General features: G+C 38.0%; 1 protein-coding gene across 31 annotated transcripts in view; it reads left to right on the top strand.

Annotated features, from left to right (window-relative positions):
* The window catches only part of PICALM (phosphatidylinositol binding clathrin assembly protein), a 112,686-nt gene extending 98,868 nt beyond the window's left edge, over positions 1 to 13,818 (top strand). For 29 of the 31 annotated variants that reach the window (XM_047427666.1, NM_001206947.2, XM_047427669.1 and 26 more), the window contains one exon: positions 11,933 to 13,818. In XM_047427666.1, the coding sequence (XP_047283622.1) occupies positions 11,933 to 11,947 (15 nt within the window). In that variant the 3' untranslated portion in view covers positions 11,948 to 13,818. Of the gene's footprint in view, positions 1 to 10,215; positions 10,319 to 11,932 lie in introns of all 31 variants that reach the window. The other 2 variants (XM_047427660.1, XM_005274322.4) reach the window with 1 other exon arrangement.

Genomic DNA, 13,818 nt, shown 5'->3' with positions numbered 1-13,818 from the left:
TTGCATTCTACAGCTTTCACCCAGTCTTGGAACCTCTTTATTCACACTTGTTTTGCAATAGTCACTCATGTTCTCTGCCTCCCCGATTTAATCCGTTTTGTAAATATTGGAACAATCTTTTGTAGGCAGTATTTGTAATACCCATCTCCATACTCAAACATTTAGGGAGGTGAATCTTTTTTGTGTGTGGGTAATGGAGTCTCACTCTGTCCCCCAGGCTGGAGGGCAGTGGTACGATTTCAGCTCACTGCAGCCTCTGCCTCCTGTGTTAAACCTCCTGCCTCAGCCTCCCCGGCAGCTGGGATTACAGGCACACGCCACCACACCCAACTAATTTTTAGTAGAGACAGGGTTTCACCATGTTGGCCAGGCTGGTCTCAAACTCCTGGCCTCAAGTGATCCTCCCTCCTGGGCCTCCCAAAGTGTTGGGATTACAGGTGTGAGCCACTGTGTCCAGCCTAAGGAGGTGAATCTAAATATAACTGAACATTTAAAGCCTTTTCTCAGCTTTCCTTCCATCTTAAAACAACCTCATGAAGCCTCCCTATTTATAAGAGTAATAATGAGTTAACGGAATATTCAAGTTCTTCGATTCCATGCTTTTACAATTCTCAATAAGTATCCAGTGTTCTGCTGTTATTTGTCTTTTCCATAAGTCCTTCACCTGCCATAAAGTGGGTTTATTCTTTGTCCAGTCTTCAGTCATCTGGTGTCCCTTTCACATCCTTATGAGATCTGGAATTCTTTTCCTTATTCTGCATTATTTTTTCTTACAGACCTTGTGACTACCTGGCATCCATCCAGTCTAGCAAGGGCTTTCTTTACTAGATTATAAGCTTCATGAAGGCAAGCTTCTCTGGCATGTTTACTTCTCTGTCCCTAGTTCCTAGAACAGTGCCTGACATGTAATAGTTTTTGGACATTATTTGTTAAGTAAATGAATCACCTTGTAAACTTACCTTTTTCATCATATAACTTACTCTGCCCCTCCTTAATCTCTCATTTCACTTACTTGTAACCATTATAATAACTTGCAGTGGTGTTCAAAATTGGTTTGATTTGTTGGCTAATAGTTATGGTGAGCTAAAACATTAGACGGCTCACCTGAGGAATGAAGACAGCTTTATTTTATGTTTATGATTGAACATTTTTAATAATTAAAAATTAAACTGTTGGCCGAACACAGTGGCTCATGTCTGTAATACTAGCACTTTGGGAGGCTGAGGTAGGAGGATCACTTAAGTGCAGGAGTTCCAGACCAACCTGGGCAACATAGTGAGACTGTCTGTTTTTTAAAAAGAAAAAAGTAAACTGTTTATCTTTGAACTAGATAAGGTTTTTCTCATGCTTTAAAGCATGTTTAATGATTCTCAGCCAGTCTCTTGGATTAATTTTGTCCGTAGAATGCTAGCCGAAACCAAAAGATTTTTCTTAATGAATTACCTTTTAATTGTTCTTTCATTGTTTTGTTCCCTTTTTTTCAATTGGATTAAAAAATTATTAAGGGCAGAGATCATCCATCTCTTTGTATGGGGTAAAGTAAATGGTAGTTTAAATGAAAAATGAAATTCCATCAAAATGGAATCTTTTAATCAAATCTAATTTCTACAGCTGTTCCCAAAATTCTTCCTTGCTCTTTGAAGTGTTTGTTTTGAGAGCTGTTACTTACCTAAGGCATAACTTGTAGCTCTTGGTCTCTTGCCTGATTACTATTATATCAAGTTAACATTTTTGAGAGAGCTCTAGCCCTCTCAGATACCTTTATCTTGTTGCCATTTAGTGAGACATTCCAGTGTGTTGTGTGTCTTACATTTTATCTAGGTTACTCTAAGCACTGCATTAGTGCTTGTTTATGAGGAAGCAGCTAACACCTTCCAGATGGCTGTTAGCTCAGACTTGATTCAATTCTTCAGGAAATTGTCATTATGGCTTTAATTCAGTAGACTGCGCTGTAGCTTTGAACTTATGAATTCCTATACACATACCCTTTTCTCCGTGTGTGTGTGTGTGTGTGTGTGTGTGTGTGTGTGTGTGTGTGTGTGTGTTGAGTCATTTTTCTGTATTTTTTAGATATTTTCATGGAATTGTTTAACAACAGATACTATTGTTTTTCTGTTTCATGCCTAACATTGTAGCTGTCTTTATTATGTTGTTCTACATTAGTGCATCTTCCTAGATGTTTAACTTCATGATAAATTCTAGGTCCTTGTGGTTTTCCTTTTGTTTCTCTTCTGTGCTTCCTCACAGTCTTACTATTTGGTTACTTGGTACAGATTGCTAGTGTGTCTGGAAAGGGGACTCCTGCTTTCTCTTACTGGTGCTTTACATAAATTGAAATGTCCATTGCTAAGCCAGTAGTTCATAAACTAATTCTTTAGTTGCAATATACAGCTATTATGTTATTAAGCATGAAGACAGTTATAGTTTCAATTTTCTTCTGAAAGTCATTGTGATATGAAATAACACTTTTTAAATGAATGTTTATATGGCAGTTTAGGTATTTTTGAAGCTCTTTGGGGGTGACAAGGGTTGTTGTTGTCATCTTATTTCCTTATATGAAAAATTCCCACTGATCACATATCAATCTGCCTATTTTCCCAGAAGCAATATGAAAAATACAGAGTATTACCTTTGGGCATTTAATTTTAAAATTAACTGTTGGTTTCTTTTTTGTTGTTTTTGTTTGTTTGTTTTGTTTTTTTGAGACAGGGTCTCACTCTGTCCCCCAGGCTGGAGTGCAATGGCACAATCATGGCTCACTGTAGCCTCAGCCTCCAGGGTAGCTAAGACTGCAGGCACACACCACAATGCCTGACTAATTTTTAATTTTTTGTAGAGCAAGCATACATCAGACTGGTCTTGAACTCCTGATCTCAAGCAGTCCTCCCACCTTGGCTTCCAAAAGTGCTGGGATTATAGGCATGAGCCACTGCTCCTGGCCAAGTTTTGTTGGTTTCTTGACTGGTATTAGGCCTTTTTTTAAAGGAGGACTGCCAGTTTTGTTTATGGAGGATATGGTTAAAGATGCAAAATGGCTGCTGTTTTTTGTTGTTTGCAGTGGCTAATTTTAAATCAGTCTGACATCAGTTAAGTGTCTGAAAGGAAATGATGGCTTGTTGTGAGTGCTTTTTATCCTTCTAAATGGGAACACTGTTGCCTTTAGATATTCGAATAATTTAAGTCTTAGAAAAAGCCTTTTAAAGTACTTTCTTGTATTTAAGAACTAGTGGCTGCTTTTAGGTTTCGTTTTGGTTTTGTTTTTTGGTTTTGTTGTTGTTGTTTTATTCTCTTGGTGTGTTAATTGTGAGTATTGGCAGTACCTCCTCTGTCAGCCGATCTCTCCAGCTGGATTTCTGTGAAGAAGGCTTTTTGCCTTGTAAGCAATGTGTTGTGCTCATTCATCCTTGCCTACTGCAGAATACCATGAGGGACGTTTCCTTGGGGATTGGGATGTAGTACCATAGGTGAAAACTAGCTCCTAGTACACACACCTGAATCATTCGAAATAGAAATGTTAGAAGTCTCATCTGCTGATCACTATTGCTAACAAGACAACTTATAGAATAAGACCTTGCTTATTACTAGGTTTTTGCTGAGGACATTCTCGAAAAGGTAGAAATCTAATTTCTTGTCTTAATAAATAAAACCAGAAAGTATTCTTAAAGTCCGGGGTGCCTGTGAAGTTCTGCAGAATCTTCATGACGAACATCAGTGACCATGTATAATACTGTGTATACAGAAAGAATGGGAATGTATTGTCTCACATTTACTAGAAAAGTTCCTTTAAAAAATTATTTCTCTACTCCAACTTTAACTTTTTCTTGTAAATTCAATATAGCCGTAAATTCTAGCTGAATTGAAATTAATTGGGATAGCAGAGTTTGAAGAGGAAAAAAACACCAGCCTTGGAACCAGCAGATCTGCATTAGAGTTTATATTATAGTTTCCTAGGACTGCTGTAACAAAGTGTACCACAAACTTGATTAAGCATGTTAAAAGTTTTTAAGCTCTTAAAAACAGAAATTAAAACAGAAATTTGTTTTCTATCACTTCTGGAGAAATCAGGGTATCGGCAGAGCCATGCTCCCTCTGAATTTTCTAGAGGAGGGTCCTTCCTTGGCTTTTCCAGCTTTTGGTAGCCCCATTCGTTCCATAGTTTGCATCTGTAGCCATTTAGTCTCTACCTGTCAACATGGCATTCTCTCTATGGGTCTCTACCTCCACGTGCCTCTCCTTATAAGGACACTGGTCATCAAATTAGGGTCACTCCAAAGACCTCATCTTAACTTGATTACATCTACAAAGACCCTGTTTCCAAGTAGGGTCAAATTTATGGGCACCAGGGGTTAGGACTTCAACACATCTTTTGGGGGGTCACAATTCAGCAGTCTTGACTTGACTCCTCAGCTAACCATGTGTTGAGAGCAAATTCTCTATGTAACTTTGAGCCTTAGTTTCCTTACCTGTAAAATTGTGGTATTACTTTGTGTACTTTATCATTTTGCTGTAAGGATCAAATGAAAATATTTGAAACTGACTAAGAAAATATTTAAAGGTTGCCCTGTTTTTGGAAATTGTTCCTATTCCCTGAATTGTCCTTATTCTCTAATTCTAAGAGGAGAATTGGGCACAGTGGCTCACACCTGTGATATCAACACTTTTGGAGGCTAAAGTGGAAGGATCACTTGAGCCCAGGAATTGGAGGCTACAGTTAGCAATGATCACACCACTGTACTCCAGCCTGGGCAACAGAGCTAGACCCTGTCTTTGGGGGGGGAAAAACAGTTTTAGAGAGGTTCAGATACAACATACATTCAAAGTGGAATGCTCCCAGGTCACTGTGTGGCATCCCCTAAAACAAAATGCGTAATGCGGGCCGGGTGCGGTGGCTCACACCTGTAATCCCAGCACTTTGGGAGGCTGGGGGAGGGGTGCAGATCACGAGGTCAAGAGTTCGAAACCAGGCTGACCAACATGGTGAAACCCTGTCTCTACAAAAAATACAAAAATTAGCCAGGCGTGGTGGCAGGCACCTGTAGTCCCAGCAACTCAGGAGGCTGAGGCAGGAGAATTGCTGAAACCTGGGAGGCGAAGGTTGCAGTGAGCTGAGATCGCACCACTGTACTCCAGCCTGGGCGACAGAGAGTCTGTCTCAAAAAAAAAAAAAAAAAAAAAAACAAAAAAACAAAATGGGTAATGCATTCAAGGTGACAGGGTTAATGTTGGCATTACTTTGTTATGTTGTTGATGGGCAGAAACCCAAGGTGGGGTTTTGTTGAGCATAAACACAAGAAGCAATTATTTGTGGCACTAGACTTAACCCAAAGGACAGACCCCTACATGTATATAGTAGAGAAATCCTGTCTTTTAGCACTATCTCACAGGGGAAGCTGAGGAATCACATTATCTTTAATATAAATAAATGAAATGCAGCACTGTATAATTTATATCCTTAAGCAACTGGATTCAACGTACCACTAATGGCCTGGTCATGTTTTAAACATTACCCCAAAACAGCCTAACTGTTCTGTGACTCAGTGTCTCTGTGGAATCCTATTTAGTAGCACCATGGTCTCTAAATGTTTTGATTACACATCAGTATTAGGAAAACATGTTTGAAGCATTGTCTAAGTCTGTTTGTGCTGATGTAACAGAATACCATAGACTGGGTAGTTTATAAAGAGAGAAATTATTGGCTTACAGTTGTGGAGGCTGGAAAGTCTAGTATCAGCGTACTGGGATTTGGCAAGGGCCTTCTTGGTGCATGATAGTATGGTGGAAGGTATCACACGGCAGGCAGAAAGGCAGAGAGAGAACAAAAGGGGGCGAACCCACTCCCTTGATGAGAACCTAAATACCTCTTAAAAGTCCTAACTCTCAATGCTGTTTACAATGGCAACCAAATTTAAACAAGAGTTTTGTAGGGAACAAACACTCAATCAAAACCATAGCAAGTATGTACCATGACTGTATGTGTATTTATAAAATACATTCATATATTTCTACAGCAATATATATGAGGTACATTTAAGCATGTAAAAATAGGAATTTTTAAAAATAGGACAGTTGTAATAATTTCTTTGTACATTCCACTTTGGAGACTGTTTTTATATGGAGCTTGTTTTATCACCAAAAGGCATTTTAATTTTGCACACTTTAGAATTCTTACAATGTGTAATTGACTGCTAGTTGCTGAACAAAGGACAGATAAAGTGTTTCCTGCACCTGAGCAGCCTAAAGGTGAGTGTAATACAGATGCACAAGTGACTGGTTGATAATGGAATGAGACCCCTTATAAGAAAGACATAACAGAGCACGGCAGAGGAGCAAGAACAACACAGAGGCAATGACATTTGAGCTAGGCCTCTTATATCTGTAGATGAACATTTGATGGTAGGTAGTAGGGAAGATGGAACTAAGAATATTTGAGCTACTTAATATATGCCAGGCAGCATGCTGAGTGCTTGTGTTCATTTAATTCTCAAGACAGCCATAAGCGGCAGTACAGGTATTGGGCCTATTATTCTAAATCCCATTTTATAAGAGAGTTAGGATTAGATTCAGTTCCATCTTTCTACAAAACCTGGCACTGTCATTCCAGGCAAAGGGAGTACAATCCATTTTTCTCTTAAGAGGTTGATTTTGCCAATGAGACAGAATGAATCTCTACAGCATTGTTAAGTTTCTACCCAGTCTTTTGGGTGACTGAAAAATTCAAATGTAAAGATGTGGCAAAATTGGTTCTCTAAGGATTTTAAGTACAGCCAAATGATATGTCACAAGTTTTTTCCTAAATATCCAACCATTTAGTCTTTCATAAGCTTTTAATTCCACTAGCCTCACTTTCTGAGATTGTTGATGTTTTCTTGTTCTAACCTGAAATTTTCTTTGTTTGATGTTAACAGGAGTATAATGAAGGAGTAACCATTTTTATTTTATGATAGTCTATCAATAGACTTTTTTTAACCTTCTTTAAGCTAGGTGTGTTTGTCCTTTATTAAAGTCAGTTTGACCCAGCCTGTACAACATTGCAAGACCTTAACTTTAATAAAAAAAAAAAAAAAAAAAAAAAGCCAGGTGTGGTGGTGCATGCCTGTAATCCCAGCTACTTGGGAGGCTGAGATGGGAGGATCACTTGAGCCCAGGAGATTGAGGCTGCAGTGACCCGTGACTGCGCCACTACACTACAGCCTGGGTGACAGAACAAGACACTGTTGATAGATAGACTATATGAAACACGCTCTATAACCAAAAAAATCATTGCTCTGGATATAATGCAAAGATTTTGGTAACATTTTACCGTATTTTTTCTTATTGATTGATTAGAGTAGTGGAGGAGGGGAGAAGGAATTTAAGAGATACTATCATCAACCACTTGCAGATTTTAGTATATTTATACGCTGCTCTTCTCAGTATTTCATTTTTCTATACATGAGAAAAGACTATGTCTGTATTGGACCATTACAATTGACCACTTTGTTGAAGACATCTTCAGTTGTGACATAGGTCATTTTGATTTGAACGAACTGATAGCTATACCAATTTTTTTTGGCTCTGTGGGAATTTTGGGATAGAGAATGTTATTTGAAGTAAATAGGTAAAGGCTCTTTTTGTTTTTGTTTTGTTTTAATTTTATTTGTGATAGATACCTGGTGATGTAATAGTAGGGCTTGACTGGAAAGATCAATTATGATTTGTCTTGGTGTCCAGAACAACAAATTACATATGCTCTCTTGTAAAATTTGATGATTTTGTGCTTTATGTGAATAGCTTTATGTGAAAGCAACAGCTTTTGGTTGCTGGTTTGTGTTTTTAATTTTTTATCCTCTAGTACTTTAACCTTGCCTTTTTATGTTCTTTAGCAACCCTACATCATGTTCTTTAATTTACTCACAGAAATAAGTAGAGTCAAGTCAGCTCTTATAGTTTTAAAATTCTCCTACTTCTCACCTACCAAGAACCCATTGCCTCTTCATGCTATTTTGTTCTTGATTTTCCTGAGCAGTAATTGGGCTACTGAAGCACATTTCCTTTCCTTCTCTTATTTACTCTCTGGGGTGACTACTTTCTCACCAGTGCATGGTGTGTCTGTGCTTTGGAATAGATGCCAGGAAGGGGTAGGATGGTCAGGGGCTGCTGTATGTCCCACTCCTTGGAGCTGTGCAGTCAGCCTAGCTAGCCCTGGCTATGGTTTCATCCGCTTGATACAGATATTGATGATAAGAAACTTATTCCAGGGATGTTGTCTTGTTTTCTTATTGGTGGTCTCTGTCATGTTTTAGTTTGGCTACATTTTTATAGATATGAGACGTGTATGTGTTTTACCAATTTAAGAGACTACTAGGAGTTCTAATAAAAAACCAGCTCTTTTTCTCAAGGAAAAGTAATCCTTTTCAACATTGTTTATAAGCCTCTAGGACTTGTCTAGCAGTATGCTCACATATTGAAAATAGATTTGTCTCTTCCGTATTCTTCAGGGGCATTTTACTGTGGGTCTGTCAGGTCTTCAGACTGCTACCCTGGTGAAAACGTGATTTAAGAAGGTATTTCGGTGTGGGGCTATCATAGGAAACTTCTGATTTTAGATGCAGTCTATCTGCAATAAGTAGGATTTGTTGTTGCTGTTGTTTTAACTGTAGGTGAAAAAGAAAATCTGCTTCAGAGAGAAACCAAGTTCATCTTGGAGATAAGTGTGGATGTTGGACTCCCTCCAGCTCAGTAACTGAGGATCACTTTACTTGAAATCGTTGTGCTTTTGATTGGCCGTCCGTGGTTGCGCTGAAGAGGGAGGAGGGGGAGTCTTTCCAGTAGTTATACCTTAATTTGTCTCTGCATGGATGATATTTGAAACCTCAAGCCCAGGCATGCTGCTCTGTCCTCCCATCTGTAGCTGCCTGCGTGATTCCATCATTGTTCCATTTGTCTCTTCCCATTGTCTTTGAACATTTGTTTTTGGGAACAAGATATGCATTAGGAAATTACTCAACCATGAGTATAACTGATGCCTATAAATTGATCTTGGCATCCAGAACAAGTTGCATATACTAGTGATGTAATATTTGCCGAAGCTCATTGGCTGTTCATTCTCTGTAGTGCTTTTCCGAAAATAAATAAATAAATAAATAAATAAATAAATAGGTAGAAAGAAATGAAATCACTTGGCACCAGCAAAGAAATCCTCTATAGGATTTGAATGTTGAAGTATGAATTGAAACTATTTCCAGTTAGTCAACTTTTATTACTCACTAGGACATCCCTAAAAGAAAAGCTCATTTTGTAATAGTCCTGTGCTTATATGCTTTGCAATCTTATACAGAGGGAGAAAAAGAATTAAAAGCTTGTTCCAAAGTAAAAAGGTTCATGTCGGGTTTGAAACGCTCATGTCAGCTTAATGAAGGATACATGTATGAAAATTAATATCTTGGTTCTTCAGGAATAGTCTGTGTTTGGGAGAATAAAGATACATACTGAATTCAGTTGTTTACTTGCCTTACAGTATATTCGAATTAAACAATAGGACAGATTCTAAGAATCAAGTAAATTTGTCCAAACAGGAAGCAGAATCAAAGATCTTAAGTATTCCCCATATTCAGGGCAGTATGTGGACAGTTACAGTAGGTGACCTCTAAGGTCCCTTTCACCTCCCACAGTACGTGTGTCAGCTGCAGTTCGTCAAGATAAATGAGCAGGAGACAACTTCGTGTAAAAAGTGTGTGAACCTAGGACAGGACTTTTCGACCCTTATGAAGAAAGAAAGGAAAGAATATTGCAGCTAGATGTGTTGGGTCCGGACTGAGGTCAGAGTTGCACAGCTTTGGACAGATAGCCTGGACACAGGAAACCATGTTCTCTCAATTTTAAACAAAAATGCAATTATGTATTCCCTCCCCTATCCCCCCACCACCCCCCATACACACATTAAAATTCTTAACCATGGGTCAGCTTATATCGACCTTTTGGGTAAAAGACATTATTCCTTTGAAACTTCAGAAGCACGAGTTTGTTTTCTGAAAAACACATGCCATTGCATACCTTTTAACTTGACATATGACTGAAACTTTTGTCTTAACAATCCATTTTCTACAAAGACTGCCCTTATATTTATTAAAGATGACAAAACCAAAACCACTTCTTCTTTCATACATTTTCTGCTTTCATGTTCTGTCATTCTGAGATCTTTTTTTCTTTCCCTCTCTCTGTCTTCTTTTCCCCCAGCTGTCGGCAGCATCCAGCCCCTCCAGTCACAGTCCTCACAGAGCTTCAGGAAAGGACCCCTTTGCAGAGCTCTCTTTGGAGGATTTCTTATAAATCACTTTAGGTATTGCTACTTGTTTTGGGAGATGGGGACTTAAATACTTAAAAACAATTACCAAACATTAAACACAATTCACGCTTCTCTTTCATTTCTTTAAAGGACTCTAGGCTCCCTCTCCTCCTCCTCCTCTTCCTCTATTCTTTAGGTGCAGAATGAAAAGATAGGACATAAGGAAAAACAACTTTTGGAAAATATCTGTAACATAATTATTTAAAGTAATCTCATCCACTGCTCACAGTAAATGGATGAGATCGGATAAAGTTTGCTTTTTAATTAAGGGCAAGTGAATACTTAAGCCCTTTCGATTAGAAGGATTCTGCATATGATCCACACTGCCTCTGTTTGCTGGAAGACAGTGTAATTTGTTCTTCTTGATGCTCTAGCCCCCAGTTTAGATATACCTTCTAGATCTTTGGGAGTTTATAGTCTTCTGATTTGGCAAGTTTATTAGCACATCTACTTCAGTAATCTTTGGATGGGCAGTTTAAGGGAAATTGTGAGTGAAATATCTTTGAATGAACAGTAGTACCCTATTGAAAAATATTTTTATGGCTCTTTCAGGTTCTTATTTATGTTAATAAAAAGACTTAGTATAATATTACTGTTCCCTTTATTGTCTCTAATTGTATATCATTTGGAAATAATATTTCAAATTTTGCTTCCCAAATGAGATTTTGCTTGTGGTATTTGTGCTTATGGAGAGATTTTTCTGAACTTGTCATGAAAAAATAGGTCATTGATCTTCTTTCTTTTCCTCCTCCACATGCTATTCCTCTATTTTTAGCAGTTAAGTATTTGGCCTGGATGTGGTTGCTTATGCCTGTAATCCCAGCACCCTGGGAGGCTGATGCGGGAGGATCACTTGGGGCTAGTAGTTCAAGATCAGCCTGGGCAATACGGTGAGACCCTAGTCTCTACCCCCACCCAAAAATTACCCAGGTGTGGTGGCGACTGTCTGCAGTCCTAGCTATTCAGGAGGCTGAGGCAGGAGGGTTGCTTGAGCCCAGGAGTTCCAATGAGCTTTTTTTTTTTTTTTTTTTTTTTGAGATGGAGTTTCGCTCTTGTCTCCCAGGCTGGAGTGCAGTGGCACGATCTCAGCTCACTGCAACCTCCACCTCCTGGGTTCAAGCCATTCTCCTGCCTCAGCCTCCCGAGTAGCTAGGATTACAGGCGCCCGCCACCACGCCTGGCTAATTTTTGTATTTTTAGTAGAGACGGGGTTTCACCATATTGGCCAGGCCAGTCTCGAACTCTCGAACTCACCTCAGGTGATCTGCCCACCTCAGCCTCCCAGAGTGCTGGGATTACAGGTGTGAGCTATGGTGCCCAGCCATTGAGCTTTGATCATGCCACTGCAATCCAGCCTAGACAGCAGAGCAAGACTCTGTCTCAAAAACAACAACAAAAAACATTATTTGGAAGTCCCTATATGTGTCAAATATTGAGCTTTCTGGCACATAAGTTGATAATACTGACTTTGTTTTATAAACAGGGTTTGTGATAAGCATGTTGTGAACACTTCTGGGCCAGTTAAATGGTAAAGACCACAAAGCATTTTTATTTATGAGAAGACATCCTACAATACAATGAATTAACATACCCACTTTTTTTTTCCAGATACAGTTTATGTAACTTGATGGAAGAAAATGGAATTACTCCAAAAAGACAAGTGCTCAAGCAGCAAAATCCTTACTTCCAGCAAAATCCAAACTGCTGTCTCTTAAATCTCTTAAACTCTCTTCTTCCATTAGAATGCTACAAGTAACTCAGTGAAGGCCCATGAAGGAAATTGGGACTAGTTTATAGGAGAACGTATCAATACAGTTTATAAAGCCAAGAATTGCTATGATTTAAGACTAAGATCTGTCTTTTTGGTGACTAACCCTTCAATTCTTTCAACTCCTGTTAATACCCATAATCAGTAACCTATCAAGAAAAGCCCTTATTTGGAAAGTGTGAAATTTGTATTTGGAAAAGCTGCCTGGAGAGAAGAACTGTGTCCTTTACTGTATTTCAACAGGACTCTTTTGGGGGATCAAAATTAAAATTCCTAATTATGCATTATCTTTCTTTTCTCCAGTCCTCACAAATACAGAAACAATAACTGAAATTAACTTTTCTTTTTTTAAAAAAAATTATATTCAGTTTGCAGTAGACATTCCTTAAGTATTTGTATTTATTTATGATTATCAATTTTACATAACATTAATATTGTATCAGACCTCCTTATGAAAATGAGTATGGATGTGCACAGTATGTTTGATTTTTATCCACAAGAATGAATCTGATTCAGAATGCTTTTCTCAGCTGACATACAGAGCACTAAATATTTTAAGGCAAGTCCATAGGTCTGAATCTCTTAAGAATTCTCGGCCTCTGTGGGATTTAGGGAAGCATTATAAATGCATTAATCCTTATAGTCAATTCTGTGCCTAGGATTTTGCCAGGGAACAGTTCACTGACTAGGAAAAGCACTACATTTTAAATTCAGCATTAGTGCATTGGGAAGGATCTTTACTGCTTTGTGCTTGGCATGTCATTATTTTCCATTTGACATTAGGGCCTTTCCAAAATGAATGTGAGGAATTGCTTTCACTTCAAGACTTTCCTTCTTTTCACTAAAACTCTAGAAGGTGTTACAAGGGGGAGGGAAGGGGGGCAAAGTCCTTGAACATTTTCTTTGGCTCGTGCCATGTTATGATCATATACCTTTTAAATAAGGGGAAATAGTATCTTTAAAGTTAATGTCTAGCCAAGAGTTTAGTAAACGAAGAATTAAACTGCACTGTTGATCGGTGCTTTGTGTAAATACATCTTTAACATTTGGGTGGAGAGGGGCCTTAAGAAGGACAGTTCATTGTAGGAAAGCAATTCTGTACATGAGTTTAAGCATTCTTGTTGCATTGTCTCTGCAGATTCTATTTTTGTTTACAATATTAAAATGTATGTTAGCAAAATGGGTGGATTTTCAAATAAAATGCAGCTTCCACAAAAGTTTTGTTATGGTATTCTGGTCTGAGATGCATTTTCATTTTTCCTTTCTCTTTTTATTATCAATATTGTCATTTTTCCCTAATAAAATATACCCAGGTGATTATATTTGTTGATCTAATAACATGGAAGGTTTGTTTTATATGAATTTTCAAAAAGATGTCTCTTTACACTTTTTGTTACCTTGTAGACTCTTATTGATAAATGCAACTACTTATTAAAATTGTTCACTTTTTGTCTTTTGATCAGATGCCTTTAGTCAGGTAAGTTTAAGGGAAAATACGCAGTTTAATGTTTTGGTACATATAATTATGTCTGCCAAAGAAACCTTTGATTGTATCATATTGCCTATTTAGTAGTGCATAGGGTTCAGAGTACATGATAAAGGATCAAAAGCTTTGCATTGATAAGTGTCTCATAATATTTGCTGTGATTGGAGAAAAAATGTAGTCGTAGCCAATAAATTTTATCAGCTTTTAAGTTTCAGTATTATTAAACCATTTTCATATAAA

This window comes from Homo sapiens, chromosome 11 (genome assembly GCF_000001405.40).
Source record: "Homo sapiens chromosome 11, GRCh38.p14 Primary Assembly".
NCBI lineage: Eukaryota > Metazoa > Chordata > Mammalia > Primates > Hominidae > Homo > Homo sapiens.
This window is presented reverse-complemented; position numbering and strand designations above follow the sequence as displayed.